At 34.9% G+C, this 27,947-nt stretch overlaps 1 long non-coding RNA gene across 2 annotated transcripts in view; it reads right to left on the reverse strand.

Moving 5' to 3' along the window:
• Nucleotides 1-660: 660 nt before the first annotated feature.
• LOC107985704 (uncharacterized) overlaps nucleotides 661-27,947 on the reverse strand; it is a 76,931-nt gene continuing 49,644 nt past the window's right edge. The window contains exons 2-6 of one of the 2 annotated variants that reach the window (XR_001755915.2): nucleotides 21,986-22,077; nucleotides 6,676-6,749; nucleotides 3,709-3,780; nucleotides 3,094-3,159; nucleotides 661-2,583 (exon numbers count right to left, since the gene is read on the reverse strand). This is a non-coding gene — a long non-coding RNA (uncharacterized LOC107985704). Of the gene's footprint in view, nucleotides 2,584-2,910; nucleotides 3,160-3,708; nucleotides 3,781-6,675; nucleotides 6,750-21,985; nucleotides 22,078-27,947 lie in introns of those variants that run through there. The other variant, XR_001755914.2, reaches the window with a different exon arrangement.

Raw genomic sequence — 27,947 nt, forward strand, 5'->3', positions numbered from 1 at the left:
AGACACCAACACAGAGTCAAAGAAAATGAAGAAACAGGGAAAGATTAATATGTTCCAAATAAAAGAACAAGATACATCTCCAGAAACTGAACCTAATACAATAAAGATAGATAATAAAATAAAGATAGTTAATGTATTAGTTTGTATTAGTTAGGGTTCTCTAGAGGGACAGAACTAAATATATATATATATATATATATATATAAATGTACATATATATAAATGTACATATATTTTTATATATATAAATGTACATATATTTTTTAATATATATAAATGTGTATATATATATATATATATATATATGTTGTGGAACCTTGTGATTTTGTGAGTAATACTTAATAAAATCATATGATTTTATTAAGTATTACTCACAAAATCACAAGGTTCCACAATAGGCTGTCTGCAAGCTGAGGAGTAAGGAGAGCCAGTCTGAGTCCCAAAACTGAAGAACTTGGAGTCCAGTGTTTGAGGGCAGGAAGCATCTACCATGGGAGAAACATGTAGGTGGGAAGTCTAGGCTAGTCTATCCTTTTCATGTTTTTCTCCCTCTTTATATTCTAGCTGCACGGGTAGTTGATTATATGGTGCCCACCCAGATTAAGGGTGGGTCTGCCTTTCCCAGCCCACTGACTAACATGTTAATTGTTTTTTGGCAACACCCTCACCGACACACTCAGGATCAATACTTTGCCTCCTTCAATCCAATCAAATTGACACTCAGTATTAACCATCAATGGTATAATTTACCCAACAGATAATTCAAAAGAATGCTTATAGCTATGCTTACTGAACTCAGAAGAGCAAAGCATGAACCAACTAATAATTTCAACAAAGGGATAGGTAATATAAAAATATAAAGAACTCAAACAGCTGAAGGACACAATAACATAACTTAAAAATAAATAGAGGAATTCCATATCAGATTAAATCAAGTAGAAGAAAGGAACAGTGAACTCAAAAACAGGTTATTAGAAATCATTTAATCTGAGAGCAAAAAATTTGAAAAGTAAAGAAAGCCTAGGGGACTTACGAGACATCATCAAGTACACTAATATAAGCAATTTCAAGTCTCAGAAAAAGAAGAGAAGAGAAAAAGAAAAAAACAGAAAAAAGTATTCAAATAAATTATGGCTGGAAACTGTCCAAACCTGAAAAAAAAATAGAAATTCACGTCCAGGAATCCAAAGATGAATCCAAAGTGACTGATACTAAGACACATTATAATAAAATTGGGAAAAATTAAAGTCAAAAAGATAATTCTGAAAGTAGCAAAAGAAAAGTGATCTATTAAACACAAGGGAAGATTCATAATATGATCTGCAGGTTTTTCAGTAGAAATAATACAGGTTAGAAAAAAGTGAGATAATATATTCAAAGTGCTGACAGAAGAAAAACAACCCTATCAACCAAGAATACTGTACCAGCAAACATGTTCTTTATTAATTAAGGAGAGATAAAAACTTTCACAGACAACAGCTGAAGGAATTTATCACCACTAGACCTGCCTTACAAAAAGTGCTACATGAAGTTCATCAAGTTGAAATGACAAGATAGAAAACAGCAACATGAGAGCAAAAGAAAGTGTGACACTGGTTGGCAAATGAAAAAATATCGATGAAAAAAATTTAGTGTTATAAAAGTGGTGAATGAATCTATTGTAATCCTACTATAAAAGCCGAAAGACAAAAATATTAAAACAACTATAACTAAATTATATAGTGGATACACACAATACAGAGTTGAAAATTCTGACATAAACAGAACACACTGTAAGTAAAATAGATGTAAAAGAACAAAGTCTGAATGCAAGAAAAGTTATGCTGTTATCAGCTTAAAGTTAACTTGTAACCATAATATAATTTATTTAAGCCCCTTGATAACAACAAATAAAATAGTTACTGTAGTTACACAAAGAAAATAAAATACAAGAATCAAAACCTAGTAATGCAAAAGGAAAAGCACCAAAACACAAAATGAGATAGCAAAAAAAGCTACGAGGGACAAAGCAATCACAAGACAAATAAAAAACAGATAACAAAATGGCAATAGTAAATCCTTACTTATCAGTAATTTTAATGAAAATGGGCTTGACATGGGATTTAAGAAGGGCGACTAGAAGCATCTATTACTTACCCCCTTTACAAAGAAGATATCTAAATGTAGATGGTCACAATTTGAATAGATTACCTGAGAGAGAATGCTGGCTGCTACTCCCAGGGCTGAAGCATGAACCCTTGGTAGTGACTCCTGGTAGCAGGGCCACCACATATTTTAAAGCACCCTGAGGAGAGGCTGCCTTGCTTTTAGCTGCCACTAGGGGTCCAAGCATGCACTCCTCAGCTGCCTGTTTTTAGATGCTGTCACTGAAATCAACCTTGCCCTCCCCAGCAGCAGAGCCATAACACAACCACTGCTCCTCCCACCTAAGCATTCTACAATGAGCCTGGAAATTACCTGACCCAGGCAGGCTTACCACAACCAGCACCAGCGTGCACCACTGGGGATCCTGAGGTCAGGTCTGCCAAGCTGAGGTTTACCCAAGCCCCAGTGCCCAAGTATGTCATCCAAGGGCCACACTAGCTATAAAATAAAATAATTAAATTAAATTAAATTAAATTAAAAACCTAGGGATAATTTTAACCAAAAAGAAATACCTAGGAATACATTTAATCAAGAAGGTAGAAAACCTCTCTAAGGAAACCTACAAAACTCTGTTGAAAGAAATTAAAGAGAAAACAAATCAATAGAAAGACATTCCATGCTCATGGATTGGACTAATTAACATTGTTAAAATAACTATACTACTCAAAGCAATCTACAGATTCAATGCAATGCCTATCAAAATACCAATGCCATTTTTTCACAGAAATAGAAAAAGAAGGTAGAAAATTTATATGGAACCTGAACAGACCCTAAATAGCCAAAGCTATCTTAAGCAAAATAAACAGAACTGGAGGCATCACACTACCTGACTTGAACATATGTCACAAAGTCGCAGCAACAAAACAACGCATAGAAAACAACATTATAAAACAACACATAGAAAAATAGGACATAATAATGAACACAGAAATAAATTAATGCACTTACAATGAACTCATCTTTTGTAAAGGTGCAAAGAACGTACATGGAAGGAAGGACAGTGTATGTATGGTTCTGTGAAAATGAAATATTTGTATGCAGAAGAATGAAACTAGATACCCATATTTCACTACATACAAAGATCAACTCAAAATTAATTAAAGACTTAAACATAAAACCAAAATAAATAATTGGCCTAGGCAAAGATTTTATGACTAAGAACTCAAAGGCACAGGCATTAAAAAAATAGAAAAATCAGACTATATTAAACTAAAAAGTTTCTGTATGGCAAAGGAAAATATCAACAGGATGAAGAGAAAACCTATTAAATGGTAGAATACATTTTTAAAATTTTAATCTGACAAGGGATTAATATCCAGAATATACCAAAAATTTAAACAGCTTAACAGTAAAACAAAATGAAACAAAACCAAGAATTCTCATTAAGAAGCGGGCAAAGTATCTAAATAGACAGTTCTCAAAAGAAGAATGTATTCGTTTGTTCTCATGTTGCTCTAAATAACTACATGAGACTGAGTAATTTATAAAGAAAAGGGGTTCAATTGACTCACAGTTATGCAGGAGGTATAGGAAGCATGGCTGGGGAGGCCTCAGAAAACTTACAACCATGGTTGAAGGCAAAAGGGAAGCAAGCACATCTTCACATGACCAGCGGGGTGGGGAGAGTGCTTCACACTTTTAAACAACCAGATTTTATTAGAACTCACTCACTATCATGAAAATAGCAAAGGGGAAATCTACCCCCATAATCAAATCACCTCCCACCAGGTCCTTCCCCCAACATTGGGGATTACAATTAAACATAATATTGAAGTGGGGATACCAAACCAAACCATATTATTCCATCCCTGCCCCTCCCAAATCTCATGTCTTTCTCACTTTTCAAAACCAATCATGCCCCAAAGTTTTAACTCGTTCCAGCATTAACCCAAAAGTCCAAGTCCAAAGTCTCATCTGAGGCCAGGCAAGTCCCTTCTGCCTATGAGCCAGTAAAATTCAAACAAACAAACAAACAAAAAACAAGTTGGTTACTTTCAGATACAATGAGGATACAGGCATTGCGTAAATGCTCCTGTTCCAAAATAGATGGATAGGCCAAAACAAAGAGGCTACAGTCCCCATGCAGGTCTGAAGCCCAGTAGGGTAGTCATTAAATCTTAAAGCTTCAAAATAATCTCCTTTGACTCCATGTCTCACATCCAGGCCACACTGATGCAAGGGTTGGGCCCCCAAGGCCTTGAACAGCTCCTCCCCTGTGGGTCTGCAGGTTACCGCCCCCACCACTGCTATTATGGATTGACTTTGAGTGCTTGCAGCTATTCCAGGTGCACAGTGCACCTGCTGGAGTTATCATTCTAGGGTTTGCAGAATGGTGGCCCTTTTCTCATAGGTCCACTAGGCAGTCCCCAAGTAGGGACTGTGTGTGGGGGCTTTGACCTCATTTCCTCTCCACACTGACCTAATAGAGGTTCTCCATGAAGGATCCAACCCTGCAGAAGATTTCTGCCTGGACATCCAGGTGTTTTTATACATCCTCTGAAATCTAGGCAGAGGCTTCCAAAATTCAACCCTTGACATCTTTGCATCTGCAAGCCCAACACCACATGGAAGCCAGCAAGACTTGGGACATGCTCTCTCTGATGCAATGGCCTGACTTGTACCTTGGCACCTTTTAGTGACAGAAGAAGCTGGAATGGCTAGGACACAGGGCACTATGTCTTGAGGCTGCACAGTGTAGCAGGGTCCTGAGTCTGGTCCATGAAACAACTATTTCCCTTCTAGGCATTTAGGCCTGTAATAGGAGGGGCTGCCACAAAGTTCTCTGAAATTCCCTGGAGGCGTTTTCCCTATTGTCTTGGGCTATTAACATTTGGCTTATTTTTACTTATGCAAGTTTGTGCAGCCTTAAATTCTTCCCCAGTATTTTTTTTTCCTACCACATGATCAGGCTGTAAATTCTCCAAACTTTTCTGCTCTGCTTTCTTTTTAAATATAAGTTTCATCAGAAAATCTATTTGTGACCTCCTCTGAGTGTACACTGTTAGAAGTATCCAGGCCACATCTTGAATGCTTTGCTGCTTAGAATTTTTTTCTGCAAGATTTTGTAAATCATCTCTCTCATGTTCAAAGTTTCACAGCTTCTTAGAGCAGGGGCACAATGCCACCAGTCTCTTTGCTAAAGGATAGCAAGAGTGACCTTTACTCTAGCTCCCAATAAGTTCCTCTTTTTCATCTGATATCCTCTCAGCCTGGACTTCACTGTTCATATCACTATCAGCATTTTGGTCACAATGATTTAGCTAGTCCCCAGGAAGCTCCAAACTCTCCCTTATATTTCTCTCTTCTTCTGGGCCCTCTAAACTGATCCAACCACTGCCCAATACCCAGTTCCAAAGTCACTTCCACATTTTCAGATATCTTTATTGCAATGTCAATTTTTTTCCATTTTCTGTCCATCCCTGTTTCTAATAATCACTAATATACTCTCTATTTCTATATATTAACTTTTATTTAGATTTGAAATATAATTGAAATCCTGCAGTATTTTTCTTTCTATGCCTGGCTTATTTTAAATAACATAATATCCTCCATGTTCACCAATTTGTCACAAATGGCAATATCTCCTTTTTTAAAGTTAGTAGTATGGTATTGTGTATATATATTACAATTTCTTTAAATATTTACCTTTCCATGAGTACTTCCCTTGATCCCAATATCTTGGCTATTGAGCTTAATATTGCAATGAACATGGAAGTTCACATGTCTCTACAAAGTCCATATTTTATATTCTTTGAGTTATACCCAGCAGAGAGGTTGCTGGATCTTATGGTAGTTCTTTTTAAATATTTTTTGAGGAAAATGAACATAAAAATCACCAACATGCTGTTTTCTATAATGGCTGTACCATTTTACATTTAGTCCAACAGTGTTCAAGAATTTTCTTTTTCCCATATCCTCACCAATACTTATCTCTTGTCTTTTTGATAATAGACATTCTAGTAAGTGTGAAACAGTATCTCATTGTGATTTTGATTTGCATTTCCCTGAAAATTAGTCATGTTGAACATCTTTTCATATACTTGTTGACCATTTTTATATCTCTTTGGAAAAAATTTCTATTCAATTCCATTGTTCATTTATAATGGCACTATTTCTATTCTTTCTATTGAGTGAGTTGTGTCATTTATTTATATATTTTAAATATTAGCTCCTCATCAGATATATAATGTATTAGTTTTTTCTCATGCTGCTAATAAAGGCATAGCCAGGACTGGGTAATTTATTAAGGAAAGAGGAGCTTAATGGACTCACAGTTCCACGTGAGTGAGGAGGCCTCACAATCATGGTGGAAGGTGAAAGGCATGTCTTACATGGCAGCAGGCAAGAGGGGATGAGGACCAAGTGAAAGGGGAAAAAAAATTCTTCTGCCAGATACCCTAAATCATTTCTCTCAAGTTCAAAGTTCCACGGATCTCTAGGGCAGGGGAAAAATGCTGTGAGTCTCTTTGCTATAGCATAGCAAGGATCACCTTTATTCCAGTTCCCAACAAGTTTCTCATCTCCACCTACCGTAAGATCCAGCAATGAGCCGAGTTCGCACCACTGCACTGCACTCCAGCCTGGGTGACAGAGCGAGACTCCATCTAAAAAAAAAAAAAAAAAATATATATATATATATATATATATATATATAGTTTAGATTACAAAACCCAACTTCTTTTATGCATTAGGAAAGCCTTTCTAAGAAAGACAGGTACAAATAATCCCACACAGCAAAGTCTACAATAAATATCTAACTCCTCAATGCCCAGACATTAAAAAACATCTACTAGCATCAATACCAGCCAGGAGAAGGTGACCTCATCAAAAAAACTAAATAAAGCACCAGTGACCAATCTTGGAGAAACAGAAATATGTGACCTTTCAGAGAGAGAATTCAAAATAGCTGTGTTGAAGAAACTCGAAGAAATTTAAGATAACACAGGGAAAAAGTTCAGAATTCTATCAGATAAATATAACAAATAGATTAAAACAATTAAAATAAATTAAGCAAAAATTCTACAGCTGGAAAGTGCAACTGGCATACTGAAGAATGCATTAGATTCCTTTAATAGCAGAATCAATCAAGCAGAAGAAAGAAACAGTGAGCTTGAAGGCAGGCTATTTGAAAACACACAGTCAGAGGAGACAAAAAAAAAAGAATAATTAAAAAAATGAAGCACGCCTACACGATCTAGAAAATATCCTCAAAAGAGCAATTCTGAGTTATTGGGCTAGGGGTGGGGCCAAGATGGCTGACTAGAAGCAGTGCTGTTTGGAGGCTCGCATAGGAAAAAACACAGTAAGCATGTGAATCCTTCACTGGCAACCAAGGCATCCAGGTTCTATCATCAAAATTGACTAGAAGGCTGGTATGACCCAAGGAGAGAAGGAAGAGCATTGTGATGTGGCAACCCACCTGAGAGCAACATGGGGAAGGGGAACACCCTTCCCCCACCCAAGGGAGGTGGTGAGTAAGCGTGCTACCCAGCCAAGAAAACTGATTTTTCCCTGGAACTGTGCAACCCATGGATCAGGAGATCCCACTCATAAATGCATGCAACCGGGGCCTAGTGTCCTAACCCTGGAACATGCAGATTCTCACAGCCTCTCAGCAGGAATCTGCTTAAGCCTACCAAACTCCTGGGTTGGGGGGTGACCAGCACTGTCTGTGGCTGCCTGCTAAGCCATTTGAGCCCCTTGGGGGAGGGGCAGCAGCCAGCACTGGGACTTGCAATTGCCTAACATGCTAAGCTCCCTGGGCAAGAGAAGGGTGGCACCCATTTTTATAGCTCCAGGCTACACTTTTTCCCTGTTGGAGCCAGGGATGCTGGACAGCTTGGTCCCAAGACTTGCTCCCACAGCCCAACACACCAGCTGTGGGAGTCTGCAGCCAGAGTGCCTCTTCAGGTCTAACGCTGACCCATCCTTCCTCAGTGGGTGGTGCTTCCCTGCAGGATCTCCAATAATTCCAGCCAGAGTCTCAGGAACAGAATTTGGATCTCCCTAGGCCTGAGCCCCTAGGAGGAGGAGTGGCTGAAATCTCTGTGGACCAGCAGACTTAGCCTCTACTCCTGGTAGTTCTGAGGAATCTGGGCAATGAAGATGAGTGGGTTTCCCTCCCAGCAAAACACAGCCTCTCCACCAAAGGACAAAGTGCTTCATTAAATGGGTCCTGCTCCCCATGCCACCCAACTGGGTGAGACCCTCCAACAGGAGTTGTCAGGCACCCTATACAGGAGCAATTCTACTGGCATCAGTTTGGTGCCCCTTGAGGTCAGAGGTCCCAGAAAAAAGAGCAGGTACCCATCTTTGCTGCTCTCCAGCCTCCTTTAGTGACATCTCCAGGTACAGGAGCGAATCAGGTGAATAAGGCCTGAAGTGAACCCCCAACAAACTGCAACAGCCCTACAGAAGAGGGACCTGACTATTGAAAGAAAAACAAGCAGAAAGCGATAACAACAGCATGAACAAGAACAACAAAAATGTCCCAACAAAAACTCCATCAAAGGGTCGGCAGCATCAAATACCAAAACTAGACAAACTCACGAAGATGAGAAAGAATCAGGAATAAATGCTGAAAACCTAAAAGACCAGAGCGCCTTTTCTCCCCCAAATGATGACAACGTCTCTCCATCAAGGGCACAGAACTGGATGGAGGATCAGATGGACAAGTTGACAGAAGTAGGCTCCAGAAGTTGGGTAATAAAAAACTATAATGAGTTAAGGAGCAGGTTTTAGAAGAAAAAAATGTTAAGGGCAGCCAGAGAGTAAGGCCAGGTCACAGGCAAAGGGAAGCCCATCAGACTACAAGTGGACCTCTTAGCAGAAACCCTACAAGCTGGAAGAGATTGAGGGCCAATATTTAACATTCTTTAAGAAAATAATTTTCAACCCAGAATTTCATATCCAGCCAATCTAAGCTTTATAAGTGAAGGATAAATAAAATCCTTTCCAGACAAGCAAATGCTGAGAGACTTTGTTACCAACATGCCTGCCCTGCAAGAACTGCTGAAAGAAGTACTAAATACTGAAGGGTAAAACTGGTACCAGCCACTGCAAAAACAAACCAAAATATAAAGACCAATGACACTATGAAGAAACTGCATCAACTAGTGTGCAAAATAACCAGACAGCATCATGATGACAGGATCAAATTCACACATAACAATACTAACCTTATATGTAAATAGACTACATACCCCAGTCAAAAAACACAGACTGGCAAATTGCATAGGGAGTCAAGATTCATCAGTGTTCTGTATTCAACAGGCCCATTTTATGTGCAAAGACACACACAGGATCAAAGTAAAGGGATGAAGGAAAATTAAAAAAGAAATTGAAAAGCAAAAAAAAAAATAAAATAAAAAGTAGGAGTTGCAATCCTAGTCTCTGACAAAACAGACTTTAAACCAACAAAGATAAAAAAAGACAAAGAAGGGCATTACCTCATGGTAAAGGGAACAATTTAACAAGAAGAGTGAACTATTCTGAATATATATGCACCCAATACAGGAGTACCCAGATTCATAAAACAAGTTCTTAGAGACTGACAAAGAGACTTAGTCTCCCACACAATAATAGTGTGAGACTTTAACACCCCACTGTCAGTATTAGACAGTCAATGAGACAGAAAATGAACAAGGATATTCAGGACTTGATCTCAGCTCTGGATCAAGTGGACCTAATAGACATCTACAGAAGTCTTTATTTCAAATCAATAGAATATACATTTGTCTCAGTGCCACATGGCACTTATTGTAAAATTGACCACATAATTGGAAGTAAAACACTCCCCAGCAAATGCAAAATAACTGAAATCATAACGAGCAGTCTCTTAGACCAGAGTGCATTCAAATTAGAACTCAGGATTAAGAAACTCACTCAATGCCACACAATTACATGGGAATTGAACAACCTGCTCCTGAATGACTACTGGGTAAAGAATGAAATTAAAGTAGAAATCAAGAAGTTCTTTGAAACCAATGAGAATAAAGAGAAAATGTACCAGAATTTCTGAGACACAGTTAAAGCAGTATTAAGAGGAAAATTTATAGCACTAAATGTCCACATCAGAAAGCTAGAAAGGTCTCAAATGGACACCCTAACATCACAATGGAAAGAGCTAGAGAAACAAGAACAAACTAATCCAAAAGAAGATAAGAAATAACTAAAGTCAGAGCAGAATTGAAAGAGGTAGAGATGCAAAAAAAACCTCAAAAAAATCAGTGAATCCAGGAGATGGTTTTTTGAAAAAATTAAGAAAATAGATAGACTCCTAGCTAGATTAATAAAGAAGAAAAATGTGAAGAATCAAATAGGCACAATAGAAAAATGATAAAGGAAATATCACCACTGACCCCACAGAAATACAAACTACCATCAGAGAATACTATAAACACCTCTACACAAATAAACTAGAAAATCCAGAAGAAATGGATAAATTCCTGGATGCATACACCCTACAAAGACTAAACCAGGAAGAAGTCAAATCTCTGAATAGACCAATGGCAGTAATTAATAGTATATCAACCAAAAAATGCCCAGAACCAGAAAGATTCACAGCTGAATTCTACCAGAAATACAAAGTGAAGCTGGCACCATTCCTTCTGAAACTATTCCAAACAATTAAAAAGGAGGTACTCCTTCCTAACTCATTTTAGGAAGCCAGCATTATCCTGATCCCGAAACCGGGAAGAGACACAAAAACAACAAAAAAGAAAACTTCAGGACAATATCCCTGATGTACATCGATGCAAAAATCCTTGTTAAAATACTGGCAAGCCGAATCCAGCAACACATCAAAAAGCTTATCCACCATGATCAAGTTAGCATCATCCCTGGGATGCAAGGCTGGTTCAACATATGCAAATCAATAAATGTAAACCACCACATATACAGGACCAAAGATAAAAACACATGATTATCTCAGTAGATGAAGAAAAGGCCTTTGATAAAATTCAACATCTCTTCATTTTAAAAACTCAATGAGCTTGGTATTGATGGAACATATCTCAAAATTATAAGAGCTATTTATGGCAAACCAACAGCCAGTATCATATTTAATGGGCAAAATCTGAAAGCATTCCCTCTGAAAACTGGTACAAGACGAGGATGCCCTCTCTCCCCACTCCTATTCATGATAGTATTGGAAGTGCTGGCCAGGGCAATCAAGCAAGAGAAATAAATAAATCATATTCAGGTAGGAAGAGAGAAAGTCAAATTGTCTCTGTTTGTGGATGACATGAGTTTATATTTAGAAAACCCCATCATCTCAGCCCAAAAAACTTCTTGAACTGATAAACAACTTGAGCAAAGTCTCCGGACACAAAATCAATGTGCAAAAATTATAAGCATTCCTTTACACCAACAATAGGCAAGCAGACAGCCAAATCATGAAGGAACTCCCTTCACAATTGCTACAAAGAAAATCAAATACCTTGGAATACCACTAACAAGGGATGTGAAGCACCTCTTCAAGGAGAACTACAAACCACTGCTCAAGGAAATAAGAGAGGACACAAATGGAAAAACATTCCATCCTCATGGATAGGAAGAATCAATAACATAAAAATGGCCATACTGCCCAAAGTAATTTATAGTTTCAATACTATTTCCATCAAACTACTGTTGGCATTCTTCACAGAATTAGAAAAAAACTTTTTAATCCATCTTGAATTAATTTTTGTATAAGGTGTAAGGAACGGATCCAGTTTCAGTTTTCTACATATGGCTAGCCAGTTCCTTACACCTTATACAAAAATGAATTCAAGATGGATTAAAGACTTAAATGTTAGACCTAAAACCATAAAAACCCTAAAAGAAAACCTAGGCAATACCATTCAGGACATAGGCATGGGCAAGGACTTCATGTCTAAAACACCAAAAGCAATGGCAACAAAAGCCAAAATTGACAAATGGGATCTAATTAAACTAAAGAGCTTTTGCACAGCAAAAGAAACTACCATCAGAGTGAACAGGCAACCTACAGAATGGGAAAAAATTTTTGCTATCTACCCATCTGTCAAAGGGCTAATATCCAGAATCTACAATGAACTCAAACAAATTTACAAGAAAAAAACAAACAACCTCATCAAAAGGTGGGCAAAGGTTATGAACAGACTCTTCTCAAAAGAAGACATTTATGCAGCCAAAAAACACATGAAAAAATGCTCACCATCACTGGCCATCAGAGAAATGCAAATCAAAACCATGACGAGATATCATCTCACACCAGTTAGAATGGCAATCATTAAAAAGTCAGGAAACAACAGGTGCTGGAGAGGATGTGGAGAAATAGGAACACTTTTACACTGTTGGTGGGACTGTAAACTAGTTCAACCCTTGTGGAAGTCAGTGTGGCGATTCCTCAGGGATCTAGAACTAGAAATACCATTTGACCCAGCCATGCCATTACTGGGTATATACCCAAAGGATTATAAATCATGTTGCTATAAAGACACATGCACGTGTATGTTTATTGCGGCACTATTCACAATAGCAAAGACTTGGAACCAACCCAAATGTCCATCAATGATAGACTGGATTAAGAAAATGTGGTACATATACACCATGGAATACTATGCAGCCATAAAAAATGATGAGTTCATGTCCTTTCTAGGGACATGGATGAAGCTGGAAACCATCATTCTGAGGAAACTATCGCAAGGACAGAAAACCAAACACCACATGCTCTCACTCATAGGTGGGAATTGAACAATGAGAACACATGGACACAGGAAGGGGAACATCACACACCAGGGCCTGTTGTGGGGTGGGGGAGGGGGGAGGGATAGCATTAGGAGATATACCTAATGTTAAATGATGAGTTAATGGATGCAGCACACCAACATGGCACATGTATACATATGTAACAAACCTGCACGTTGTGCACATGTACCCTAAAACTTAAAGTACAATAATAATAAAATTTAAAAAAAAACTTTTTAATTTCATATGGAATTAAAGAAAACCCCATATAGCCAAGACAATCCTAAGCAAAAAGAACAAAGCTGGAGGCATCATGCTACCTGACTTCAAACTATACTACAAGGCTACAGCAACCAAAAGAGCATGGTACTGGTACCAAAACAGACATACAGACCAATGGAGCAGAACAGAGACCTCAGAAACAACACTGCACATCTACGACTATCTGACCTTCTCAACAAAAGCCAAAATTGACAAATGTATTCTCATTAAAAGAAGGAGCTTCTGCAGAGCAAAAGAAACTATCATCAGGTTAAAAGGCAACCTACAGAATGGGAGAAAATTTTTGCAATCTACCCATCTGACAAAGATATAATATGCAGAATTTATAAGAAACTTAAGCATATTTACAAGAAAACAAACAACCCCATTAAAAAGTGGGCAAATGATATGAACAGACACTTCTCAAAAGAAGACATTCAAGCAGTCAACAAACATAGAAAAAAAAAGCTCAACATAACTGATCACTAGAGAAATGCACATCAAAACCACAGTGAGATCCCATCTCATGCCAGTCAGAATGGCAATTATTAAAAAGTCTGGAAACCACAGATGCTGGCAAGGCTGTGGAGAAATAGGAATGCTTTTAGACAGTTGTTGGGAATGCCAATAAGTTCAGGAATTGTGGAAGATGGTATGGCAATTCTTCACGGATCTAGAACCAAAAATACCATTTGCCCAGCAATCCCATTACTGGGTATATACCCAAAGGAATGTAAATCATTCTACTATAAAGACACATGCACACGTATGTTTATTGCAGCACTATTTACAATAACAAAGAAATGGAACTAACCCAAATGCCCAAAAATGATAGACTGGATAAAGAAAATGTGGTACATATACACCATGGACTGCTACGTAGCCATAAAAAAAGAATGAGATCATGTTCTTTGCAGGGACATGGATGAAGCTGGAAGTCATCATCCTCAGCAAACTAACACAGGAACATAAAACCAAACACCGCATGTTCTCACTCATAAGTGGGAGCTGAATATTGAGAACACATGGACACAGAGAGGGGAACAATAAACACCAGGACCTGTTGCGGGGTGGGGGCTGAGGGGAGGGAAGTTAGAGGACAGGTCAATAGGTGCAGCAAACCAGCATGGCACACGTATACCTATGTAACAAACCTGCACATTCTGCACATCTATTTCATTTTTTTTTTTTACAAGAAATAAAGAGAGAAAAAAAGATTTATTGGGAGTTAAGAGGATATAGACAAAGAGATATGGGTAGAAAGTTTACTCGAATGGATAATAACAGAGAACTTTGCAAACCTAGGGAAATATATCAATATCCAAGTACAAGAAAGTTATAGAACACCAAGCAAATTTAATAGAAAGAAGACTACCTCAAGTCATTTAATAATTAAACTCTCACCAGCTCCAACAGCTTGGAGTTCCTCAAAAACCTCAAAAATTGAGCTATCATTTGATTCAGCAATCCCACTGCTGATTATATATCCCAAACAAAAGAAATCAGTATATCAAAAAGTTATCTGCACTTCTTTTTGTTGTTGTTGTTGTTGCAGCACTCTTCACAACAGCTATGATTTGGAAACAATGTAAGTGTCCATAAACAGATAAGTGGATAAAGAAAATTTGGTAAATATACACAATGTAGTATCATTCAGCAATAAGAAAGAATGAGATCCAGTCATTTGCAACAACATGGATGGAACTGGAGATCTTTATATTAAGTGAAATAAGCCACGTACAGAAAGACATATGTCACATGTTCTCACTTACTTGTGTGATCTAAAAATCAAAGCAGTTGAACTCATGGACATAGAGAGTAGAAGAATAGTTACCAGTGGCTGGGATGCGTATTGTGGGTTTTGAGGAAGGTGGAGATGGTTAATCTCTACTAAAGAAATAGAAAGAATGAATAAACCTACTATTTGTTAGCACAACAGGGTGATTATATTCAATAATTACTTAATTGTGCATTTTAAAATAACTTAAAGATTGTAATTAGATTTTTTTGTAACTGAAAGGATAAATGCTTGAGGCAATGGACTTAAAAATTAAAATAAAATTAGCAAGCTTTTAGTCAAAAGTCATATTAAATAAAAATAAAAACATAAAAATAAATGAGAGGGAAAAACTTTCTGTATTAGTCTGTTCTCACACTGCCATAAAGAACTGCCCACGACTGGGCAAATTATAAAGAAAAGAGGTTTAATTGACTCAAAATTTCACAGGGCTGGTGAGGCCTGAGGAAACTTACAATCATGGTGGAAGGGGAAGCAAACACATTCTTCTTCACATGGCGGCAGGAAGAAGAAAAATTAGTGAAGAGCAGGGAAAGCCCTTATAAAACCCTCAAGTCTTGTAAGAATTCACTCACTATCCCTAGAATAGTATGAGGGTAACCACCCCTATGATTCAATTACCTCCCACCAGGTCCCCACCATGACATGTGGGATTATGGGAACTACAATTCAAGATGAGATTTGGGTAGGGACAGAACAAAACCATATCACTTTCACATACAAACAAATGCTGAAGATGATTATCACCACTAGATCTCCCTTATAATAAATGTTAAAGTGAGTTCTTAAAGCCTAAGAAGCAGAACCCTAGCCAGTAACATAACAACATATTAAAATATATGTTAAAATAAATACATATTTAGATTAAGAATACTCATACTGTAATGATGGCTTGTAGATCAGTTATACCTCTGGTATAAAGATTAAAAGACAAAACAATTAATAATAATTGTAGCTATAATAGTGTGTTAACACATACAAATTATAGAAATATATGTTAAGATATTGAAAACACAAATTGGAAGAAGAAGTGAAGTGTTAAGTTTGTTCATGTAATTAAAATTAAGTTATTATAAACTTAGAATAGCCTGTTACAAGCATAAGATGTTTTACTTAAGCCTCATGGTAGTCATCAACAAAAACCTATAGTAGATACACAAAACATGAAAAGTTTCAAAGTGTAACACTACAGTAAATCATCAAATCACAATGGGAGATAGCAAGAGAGAAGGAAAGGAACAGAGGGTGTACAAATCAACTAGAAAACAATTAAGCAAATGGCACTAGTAGGTTCTTGCCTATACATAATTAATTTGAATACAAATAAATTATTTTTTAAATCAAAAGACATGAGTGACAGAAAGGGTAACAACAAAAACAAGACCCGACTTTATACTGCCTACACGAGACTCACTTCACCTTTAAGGGCATACTTAGAATGAAAGTGAAAGAATAAAAAATTTATTCCATGCTAATAGGAAACAAAACAAGTGCAGGTGTAGCTATACTTATATCAGATAAATAGACTTTAAGTCAACAACTGTAAAAAAGAGATCAGGACATTTTATAATAATAAAGGTATCAATTCATCAACAGGAGATAACAATTATAAAAATATATACGTACTCAAAATCACAGCACCTAAAGTATAAACCAAATCTTTAAATATCTGAAGGGAGAGTTAGACTGCAATACAATTATAGCAGGAGACTTCAACTTCCCAATTTTAACAATAGATAGATCATCTAGACAGGAAACCAATAAAGAAACATTCGATGAACTACACTTTAGAACAAATGAATCTGACAAACATACGTGGAATGTTCCATCCAACAGCCACACAATCCATTTTCTTCTCAAATGTATTAAAAGATAAATTTCAAAATTTCATGAGATAAACAAAAATAGAAAGAAAACTTAACAAAACATATTGGATGTGGCAAAAAGATTTTGAAGAGGGAACTATATAGCAATAAAAGCCTACATCGATAAAGAGGAAAAAACATAAACAATCTAATGTTACAGCTCTAGAACTAGAAAGTCATAAGGAAGACAAAATATAGTCACTTTTCATTAAGTGTAAGTTGAATATCATACAGGTCTTTATCTTAATCACCTTCACAATGAGTATACTGAAGAAGTGGAGGAAGAAGGAAGTTGGTCTTGCTGTCTCAGGGGTAGCAGAGGCAGAAGAAAATCTGTATATAAGTGGACCCACACAGTTCAAACCCATGTTGTTTTAGAGTCAACTGTACTACAAATCACCATATGCCCACAAATTTGATAATTTGGAAGAAATGAATAAATTCCCAGAAACTTATAACCTACAAAGACAAAATCATGCAGAAATAAAAAATCTGAACAGATTAATACTGAGTAAAAGATTGCATTAATAATAAAAAGTCTCCCGTTAAAGAACAGCTTAAGACCTAACAGCTTCATGGCTGAATTTTACCAGATATTTTTAAAAGACTGAATGCCAATGGTTCTCAAACTCATTCAAAAAAATGAAGATGAGAGAATACTTTAAAACTTATTTTACAAGGCCAGCATTACCCTGATACCAAAGCCAGACAAGGATACTATAAGAAAAAAAATATATAAGCAGATATCTCTGATGAATTCTCATGCAAAAAGTCTCAACTAAATTCTAACAAAGAAAATTCAAAATCATGTTAAAAGGATGATTCACCATTATCAAGTGAGATTTATCTCTGGGATGCAAGGACATTCAATATACACAAATCAACGAATATAATACATCATATTAACAAAATAAAAGACAAAAGCCACATTATCATCTCAATAGAGGCAAAAAAAATCATTAGACAAAATTCCACATCCTTTCATGATAAAAACTCTCAACAAGTTAGGATAGAGGGAATATGCCTCGAACAATAAAGAACATATATGACAAGCCCACATTAAACATTATTCTTCATAGTCAAAAATTGAAAGTTTTTTTATTAAGATCAGGAATAACACAAGGATTTCCACCCTTGCCACTTTTGTTCAACATAGTACTGCCAGAGCATTTACGGAATAGAAAAAGAAAGAAACAGATCCAAATTAGAGAAGAAGAGGTTAAATTCTCTGCTTTTGGACATCATAATTTTATATTAAAAAAACAAAGACTCTACCAATAACTGTGATTACTGATTACTGAATTCAGCAAGGTTGTAAAATACAAATTCAATGTGCAAAAGTCAGTAGAGTTTCTATACACCAACAACAAATTATTCAAAGGAAAGTATTTAAGAAAACAATCTTATTCATACTAGTATTAGAAGTATAAAATACTGAAAAGTAAATTTAACCAAGATGGTAAACTATGTGTATATTAAAACCTCTAAATCATTGATGAAAGAAATTGAGAATAACACAAGTAAATGATAAGACATGCTATGTTTATGAATAGGAATTATTAATATTGTTAAAATGTTCCATTTTACCCAAAGCTATATACAGATTAAATGCAATCCCTATCAAATTCAAATTATATTTCACATCAATAGGAAAAAAACCCTGAAATTCATATTGAACCAAAAAAGAGCTCAAATAGCTAAAGCAATCTTGAGGAAAAGAACAAAGCTAGAGATAGCACACTACATTATTTCAAAATATATTACAAAAATATTATAATCAAAACAGCATGGCACTTGCACAAAAAGAAACACGTTGTTCAGGATATAATGTCCAGAAATAAATGCATGCATTTATAATCAACTGATTTTTGACATAGCTGCCAAAAACACACAATGTGAAAAGGATAGTTTTGTTCAAAAATTTTAATGGGAAAACCATATATCCACAAGCAAACAGGTAAAATTGGACCCTTATCTCAAACTGCATACAAAAGTCAACTCATAATTTATTAACAACTTACGCATAAGATCTGAAACTGTAAAACTACTAGAAGAAAGCACAGAGGAAAAGCTCCACAACATTGGTCTGGCAATGATTTCATGGATGTGAACCAAATATGGGCAATATAAGCAAAAACAGACAAATGGGATACATCAAAATAAAATGCTTCTGCACAGCATAGGAAACAACAGAATAAAGAGGCAACCCACAGACTGAGACAAAGTATTTGCAAACCATATATCTGATGGATCAGCAATAACACTTCTAGGTAGAAATTCAAGTGAAAATATTAGGGAAGGAATTTAAATCAAATCATAAAAATATAAGCATTGTTTTTTACATGTTCATTCACTAACTCTATGCCTTAATATTATGTTAGTGAAATATGTATGTCTAGTATATTAAATAAATGTTGAACATTTATAATAAAAATGACTAGACCAGCATTTGCATGGCAAAATTTTAAGGAGAAATAGAAACTTTGTTTTTTGACATTATTCACTTAATAAATCACATATTTTGTGAATCATAGAAAGAAAAGTAACTAAAGTAGATATGAATGGGAACTGTTAAAACAATAAAATTCAATACTATGTAGTATGTAATGTGTTTCACTTCTATTACACACACGCAAGCATGACTACAGAATTGTGTGTATGTAATACTTTAGATTTTCTTTGGCTTCGAATAACTACTTAATTTGAAATCCCAATACTGCGGTATACAGTGTAATTCACTGTATACAGTGAATTACATAAATCTTTTTTAAAACATTAATTTTCAAGAAGTGCTTATTGTCTAAATATAAAATGGAAGTAGTCATGTTCTGTCTTTCTAAGAAAATAGCATGCATTCTAAGAGTTATAATCTTTCCAAATATGAGACTTTGAGGATGAATCATGAATTCAAAAACAATCTCAGATTTTAGGGAAGACTTGACTAACACAGTCACACGAGTGGTATTCTCTCATATACGTAGCAAGAAATATAACTTTAAAAAAGTATTTATTTTATGTCTCAAGGAGAAGTTTTCAACTAATTTATTGATTATATTGTTGTCTAAACTTGAGTTAAACAACGAAGACAACAACTCTCAAATGAATAAATGTCTTTTTACTTGAAATCTAAGGCTGTCTAATATGGTTTGTTTGAACGGTGAACATTAAAAGTGAGTTTTAAAAAGTTTTGCTTTTTGTTTGCTTTTAGCAAAGCAATACCTTAGAGTGTCTAATGAGGATTAATATAAATATGTGATCAGTGTTTCACTAGGATGATTTTATCTTGCCCTGTTATATTCTATTCATCTATGTTTATTCATCTCTTTCCTTTGTTCTCCTTCTCCCAGAGTTTTATTTTTGAACCCATTGACATAAATCAGGCTGCTGGTGGTACTGTCTTGATAAAAGCCCCAGTCTATTCTTTTCATCATGACAAGCTTATCTAGAAAATAACGCAATATCTCATTAGAATGACAGCATGGGGTTGTTGGAAATTTGTGAGTCCTGTTATTTTCTTACCCACAAGAAAGAACATCACTGGAAAAAATTAAAATATGAATTCATTATTTGTTTATTTTTTTTTAATTTTCAGAAATCACTTCAGTATTAGAAGAATTGGTGAAAAGATGTGGAGTATTTTATAATATTTAGAAATAGAATTAATAATATGCATAAGGTGCTGCATTGAGATTGTTGTTAGTTTTTAACCAGTGCCACTTGTAAAATTCATTATACATTTTTCTGAAATCTAATGTTTGAAATCTGATATTTTAAACTTCAGAGGATTAAGCTTAATCTTCACGTTTACTTTAGAAAGACATAGAATTAGATTTTGGAATGGTTTAGCTGTTTCTGAAAGTACATTAAAAAACTATAAATATTCAAGTAGACAGCTGTGTTAAAATAATATGTATGGTGACAAATCAATGCAGCAGAATTATATTAGTTCAATTTCCCTGAAGCCCTAGCCACTACGTTCTTTTTACAATGTTATACTCCTTTAAATGCATTCATAACATTGATTTTCTACTGTTACATTGTAATGTTTTTACCATGATAATCTGTAACAAATGTACGTCTTTACTTGTTTCCTTTTTCTTATGAATAGAAAATGACTGGCAGAAAAATATTGGAAAGAACTGTGCCAACACAAATAAAACATATTGTAGGTTATGAAAGATGTGTTAATTAAATAGAAAGAAACAGTCTGTTGTCAAATATAGAAATTGCTGTATATTTTGTCAGGCAAAAATATTAATCACAATGGCACACCTCACACATATGAAGCATGTTAAAATCAAGATTAAAATATACTAATCCTTATTAAACGAGCATCCTGATTATAAAAGCTGCTTCTAATTTTCTAAATGTTATTCTCATTCACATTTACCAGAAACTATGCTTGAGTATCTAATAATGAAATACAAACAAATCTGTAAGCCAAGAAGAACCCTAGTAAAAACTAGGTTTTCTATGCTTGATATTCCCTTTTTTACTTCCCCTGAGTCCAGTATTATCATGGTGCTTGCAGTAAATGTACCTAGCTTTACCATTTCTGCACCAATCCACCTGTGCTCTAGAATCTAGAACTTCCTGACAGTTTTTTTCATCTTCTAATCTTTCTAGTTATGTTCCCTTTCCTCTGGGACCTCATTTTATGGAAAATTATTTGAGGTCTGAATGGAAGATAACAGTTTAATAGCTGTTTCTAGCCTCAAGGGTTTTGTATTATTCTGTCTTTCTGAAAGATATTTAAAACTGCCATCACTCGAATAAAAATATATTTAGATGGCTTAACTGGTAATGCATACCTTTGGTTTACCTCTTTTGATTGTGGATGACTTGCTATAAAGATAAAATGCTATTAAGAATTATTTACCTAACGTGCTTGATAAAATTAAAGTAAAATTAGGCTCCAAACTTCAGAAAAGTTGCTTGACTCAAAAACTCAGCATTAATTGACTTGAAGAGGAAAGTGAAGTGCTACTTCTTATTCTGATTTCTTCACAGGAGAGACTTTGAGCATTGAAAATATAGAAACCTCTCAACCCTTAATGTACCAACGCACACAGAAATACATAAACACATGCACAGAGAGCTTGTAATTCTTCATACATTCTATTGTTACCAATCTAGTAGAACTTACTATATTTCATCCAAAAGAAAAGATTTTCAGATACTAAGAAAATCATCCGTGGGGACCCACCGTCTTTTCTGGCCAGTGTCTGAACACAGATATGGCTTCTGTTCATAAGGCACTGTGGCTTCTGTTCATAAGACACTATTATGTGTTTCTTTCTAAGAAAATAAAAAAGAAAGAAGAGGAAAGAAAGAAGGAAGGAAAGGAAGGAAGGAGAAGGGAAGGGGAAGGGAAGGGAAGGAAAGAAGGAAGGAAGGAAGGAAGCAAGGAAGGAAGGAAGGAAGGAAAAACAGGAAAAGATGGAAAAAAAAGAAATAAAATCTATTACTATTTTCTGGAAAGTACGGTGAGAAAGAATGAATTAATTCCATATTTAGCCAGTAAAGTTAATAATATTACATGCATCAAAGACATGCAAATCCTGAGCAGCTGCTTAAATATATTGCTGATCTCATAAGGTTTTCAAGGGATATAGCTACAGATGGTATTCCAGGCAAATGTCCACTACCCTAGTGAGCTAAACTCTAATCTCAAGGACTCAGTCTATTTCTTTGGCATAAAATCTATCGGAGGGTTTGTAAAGCCTTCAGAGAGTAGCAGTGGCTCCTTTTGGCCTTTTTTTGCCACTTATTTTATTTACTGAAATTTAAAACAAAATATTTACTAGACAGGAATTGAAAAGAGAGGCAACTCAGAAAGCAAAATTATTATTAATTTTCTCCTCATTCAAAAGTCCCTACAAATTGTTACACTATATTCCTTAGCCTTTCACATATGGCAAACCCTTTCTCCTAATGGCTTGGTGGGGGCCATTGAGCTTTCCTAGAAGTTGAGGTGTTTTATCTATATGTAGTAATAATAAATATGATAAGTAAAAGTTAACCAGAAAAACAATAATAGAAATTCATTTAGAATCAGTCATCAATTTCTTTTTGATTACTACTATTTTATATAAATAGTATCCAAAATTTCAAACATATGTTTTCATTCTACATAATTACATTCTAAATATAAGTTTTTAACTTCTCATTATCTTTTTAAACTTAACTAGATTAATGCATCTACAAGTCATACAGTGAAATGATTATAGTAGACCAAAATTATTGAGTGTTCTTTCATTTTTATATTGAGATATAAATTGCATATGATAAAATTCCACCTTTTAAAATTATACAGTTGAGTGGTTTATAGTGTATTCACAATGTTGTGCAATCATCACTACTAATTCCAGAATAGTTACATCATATCTCAAAAAGAAATAATGAAGTGCTGACGCATGCTACAACATGAATAAATATTTGAAACATTATGCTGTGTAAGAAACTAGACAAGATACAGATTGCCAGGCACGGTATGAGACAATTTATGTGGAATATCCAGAATAGGCAAGTCTTTAATAACAGAAAGTAAAGTAGTGGTTGCCAGGGTGTTAGGGGAAAGAGGAAACAGAGATACTTTGCTTATTTGCCCTTCTTCTTTACACAGAGTAATCTTTGTTTTCCCATTTGTTTCCTCTTTCCCCTAACATCCTAGCAACCATTACTTTACTTTTTTGCCATTTATATTGTAATCTTAACTCTAAACACCATATCTTCTTCCTAGTGCCTTGAACTTCAAATCAATAATCAAAGCCTTTATTTTCCTGTACATTCGAAACATAATTTGAAATTTCCCCCAAGTCACTTTTGCCTCTAACAATACCAGACATCTTTTTATTATCACAGGTATTTTTTATCTTAATCTTAACAGTCCGAGTCTAATAATGCTATACATTCATCTCTAGTATTCATATAGATTATTAAAACCTCTTAGTTCTGCTCTCCATACCTCAGCTCTGTTCATAATATATACTTCTCTCTCTCTTCAACCTCTTCTAAATTTTAACTTTATTTGATCAGACAGCATTTAAATTTCTAATAAATATTAAATATTGGTACTGGCATAAAAGACAGGAACGAATCACACATAGACATGGGAGTATAAGGTCTGGGAAAGTACATAATCATAATAACAAATATTACAATACCAGTTTACTATGGTATAAAGGTGTCTTCTAAAATGCATGTGTCGAAAACTTAATCCTCAATGCAACAGTGTTGGGAAGGAGAGACTCATGAAAAGTTTTTAGGTTATTAGGGCTCTGTTCTCATGAATGGATGAATGCCACTATGAGAAGGGTTTGTGAGAGTGGGTTAACTCTCTTTTGTCTTTCTGCCATGTGAGGACACAGGATTAGTTTCCTTCAGAGGATGCAGCAATAAGGTACCATTTTGGAGGCAGAGAGATGCCTCACCAGATGCTGGTGGCTTAATCTCGGACTCCCCAGTCTTCAGAATTGAGAATAATGAATTTTTTTTAAATAAATTACCCAGTCTGTGCCATAACAGGGTATAACAGAACAAAACAGACTAAGACAAATGTGATACAATGACTACGTATATATAGTGCTCTAAGAGCTCAGATTTTTCAGTCTTTTCACTTTAAGCACTTTACATCTAAAGTTTGTCAAGAATACACTTATCAAATAGCTATATGTAGCATATCTTGTGAACATTTTACGTCTTTCTCTAAAATCTTCAACTTATTCGTCCATTAAATCTTCATCCAACAAATATTTATATGTTGGCTACTTTGTACATGTTGTTGGCAAGGAAGAAATATGATAAAAGATGTATTTTCTACCTTCAAGGATTACTTTGTATAAAGAAGCAGAAAGGCATGTAAACAAATACAGCACATTCTGAAAGGGTATGATAAAGGTAAACAAGGAATTCTGTGGGGCCACTCAGGGAAAACCATTAACTCAGATATGCAGTGACAGAGAAGGTTATCAAGGCAAATGAATACCTTAGCTCTGTATTAAAATATTGAAAACATTGAGCATAAGAAGGAAGTAGTAATAGCATGTTTTGTTAAAATAAAAATAGAAAGAAGAGTTGTATTAAAGTACCAGTAAGGACAAAGCCACAGGATTTGGTAGCGAGGAAAAGGAGAAGAAAAAGGCAGAAATAAAAGCTTTCTTTGGGGTTTTAGCAACTAGGAAGATGACATTCAGTGATATAGTGAGTATAGAAGAGGGAGAACATTTAGAAAAAGACAGAAATGGGGTGATTTGAATTTTCTAGATATGGAGTTTTAGATGGCTATGGGACATGCACGTAGAGACATACATTGAATTGAACTTGAATCTAAAGATGAGAAGACATCAGAGTTTGAGCTAAGCTTAAGGAGCCATCAATTTATTGACATAATTGAAACCATAAAGGCAGATGTGATTCTTCAGGGGAAGAGAGAAGCTAAAAATCCAGAACATTGATTATGGGGCCATAGGTAATAGTATCACTTACAGGTCAGATGGAGAAAAAGGTACCCATAAGGCAGTCTTCATGAAGGAGTGACAAAGTAAGTTAAAAGAGAACTAAGAAAAGAGATATCCTGTGAGCTAATAAATGTGGGAAATTGAATGAGGAATTAGTCAACTGTATCTAGTGGCAACAGTAGCAGATAATCAAAACTTAAAAGTATCAAAATATGTGCTTTTTGTTGCCTACATAATAAAATTCTCAGCTTTTAGTCTAGCATTATGGTCTTTCAAAATTTTATCTCAAGCAAATTTCCTTGCTTCCTTTGCATATATCCTTTGTTCCAACTACGTTAGACTTCATGCTCTTCCCTAAATTGTCCCTTTTCATTCCAAACTCTTCCTCTCTTCACATTGTATTTGAAATCTGTAATAAGCTTTCCACACTTATGTTTGTCAAAATTCTATCAATTATTTATATATTTGTTCAAGTTATTAATTGATAAAAGGAGAGAAAGAGAGAGAGACAGAGAAGGGAAGCACACAAGCACGGATGTAGCTAAATGTTAACTGATAATTCTGGTTTTGGGCAAGGGTATTCAGTTATTCATTGTATCATCCTTTCTACTCTCCTTTCAACTACTGTATGATTCTTTCAACTGTACATTAAAACATTTTTAAACTAAAAAGGTAAAAACCTGAGAAAAGCAAACAAAAAATAAGGTTATATATAAGGAACTATCAACCTGTCTAGCCCATATGCTAATTTTTTCATGAATCCTTCCTTGGTTTTCCCAGCCAAAGGTAATTTTTTATTTACCAAAGTTTCAGAATACTTAGATTACATCATTCTTACAGGATATTTTATTTTATTTTTTATTCTCAGTCTTTATTTAATTATACATAGGTACTTATTTTGATTCTTGAAAAACTGAATTTTTAAAAAAAAGTTAATCTCCATTGAATTATATTTTCTTTAGGTAATTATTTTGCTTCTTGAGACTATTCATTATGACTGCACTCCTCTTGATCTTTGTGCAGTGCCCCGCTTTATACATGCTAACGATGCGGTATGTTTGTTGAACTGAGTGAAGAAGCTGAAGGAGAAAGACATTTTCAGCTAGTTCATGGTAGACACTTTCATATATGTGTGGAAGTTGTTTCATTCAACAGATTTTGAGTTTAGCCATGAATATGGGGACAAGGATATTGCTAGCCTAAGTTTAACAAATAATATATTCACTGATATGTTGAAGATAATAATACTGAAGGTAGAATTTATCCACTGCCCTGTTAAGCAATGAAAAAACTTCCGTGTCTAAATCTATTTGTTGGTACAATTTCATTGTAAAGAAAATCCATACTAATTTTCTTATGTTAATTTTCCAAGTTATTACAATCACACCAATTTATTTTCTTGAGGAATGGTTAAATATAATGAAAAGTTTATTTATTTGGGATTAAAGAAAATGACCAAGATGTGAATCTCAGCTCTATTATTTACTAGATATATAAACCTAAGTTAGTTATTTAAGCTCTGTGACCCTCAGCTTCCTCATATGTAAGTTAAAGACTATATTACCTATGCAGTAGAAATGCTAGAAGCATTAAGTCAAATGTTTTATTCAAGTTCTGACCATACAATGTGTGACACATAACACATCTTAAATAGACAGCAGTATCTTTTCTCCTCTTTTCTGAAGTCATGAGATCTGCCCGTTATTATAGTTCCCAAATGTAAAGGTTTCTAATCGGAATTTAGCTATTAATTTGCTTTTAAATACTTCCTTTTTCATAATCACCTGAACAATCCTGAACTAGATTATTCAATACGCATATAGTGTTTCCTTTCACACATAGCTTGCTTAACTGTTTTTAGATTATCCTTTCATTTACATGAAAGATGGTTGTTGTGTTTGAAAGGTTTGAACAATAGGTGTTCAATTGCTTCAATTAAGAGAAAAAAAAGAAAAAAACGTACATATTAAAGACTGTGGACCCTTGCCCAAGAAAAACCTATTTTCTCTCTATTCATATTTCTCGATGAGATTTATAGTGAGAATAAAATCATCCTTAACTGGTGAAGACACTCTAAATTTGATATATAATGCATTTAGCAACATCAAAAAAGTCTAATAGCCTGGAAAGCTTAAAACTCTCTATATGTAATCGCAACCTCTCTAATAAGGAAGCCACATTTCTGGGGAGAAAAGAGATTAAACACATGAATTTTCTTGTCAGACATAACTAGATTTGAGTCTGATCTGCAGCTTACCACCTATGTGGCCAGAATAAGCAAGTATAACAATCTTGCATCAGTTAATCCTATTTTTAAGATAAAAAAATTACTGCTCACCTCAGTGTTGTTTTGCTTATATGAAATAATGTATATTAAACAATAAATACACTGCTTGGGTTATACTAAGTGCTCAAAGATATGCCTATTTATTATTACTACTATTATTTTTCTGTAAGAACCTAAACATTAAATATATTCCACTTTTGTAAAGAAACAAAAATATATAGAAATAAATTCACTTGTCTAAAAGCACAGAGTGGATTAAAAAACCTAGAACTGAAAGACTTCAGTCTTCTGACACCCAACCCCATTTAACTATGTTATTAGACCTCAAATATAAATTAAGCATGCTTCAGGGTTACCATTATCTAGAATAATGTTACTTTCAGATATAAGTAAAAAATACACTGAACATTTTGTCAAGTTGT

This window comes from Homo sapiens, chromosome X (genome assembly GCF_000001405.40).
Source record: "Homo sapiens chromosome X, GRCh38.p14 Primary Assembly".
NCBI classification, from domain to species: domain Eukaryota; kingdom Metazoa; phylum Chordata; class Mammalia; order Primates; family Hominidae; genus Homo; species Homo sapiens.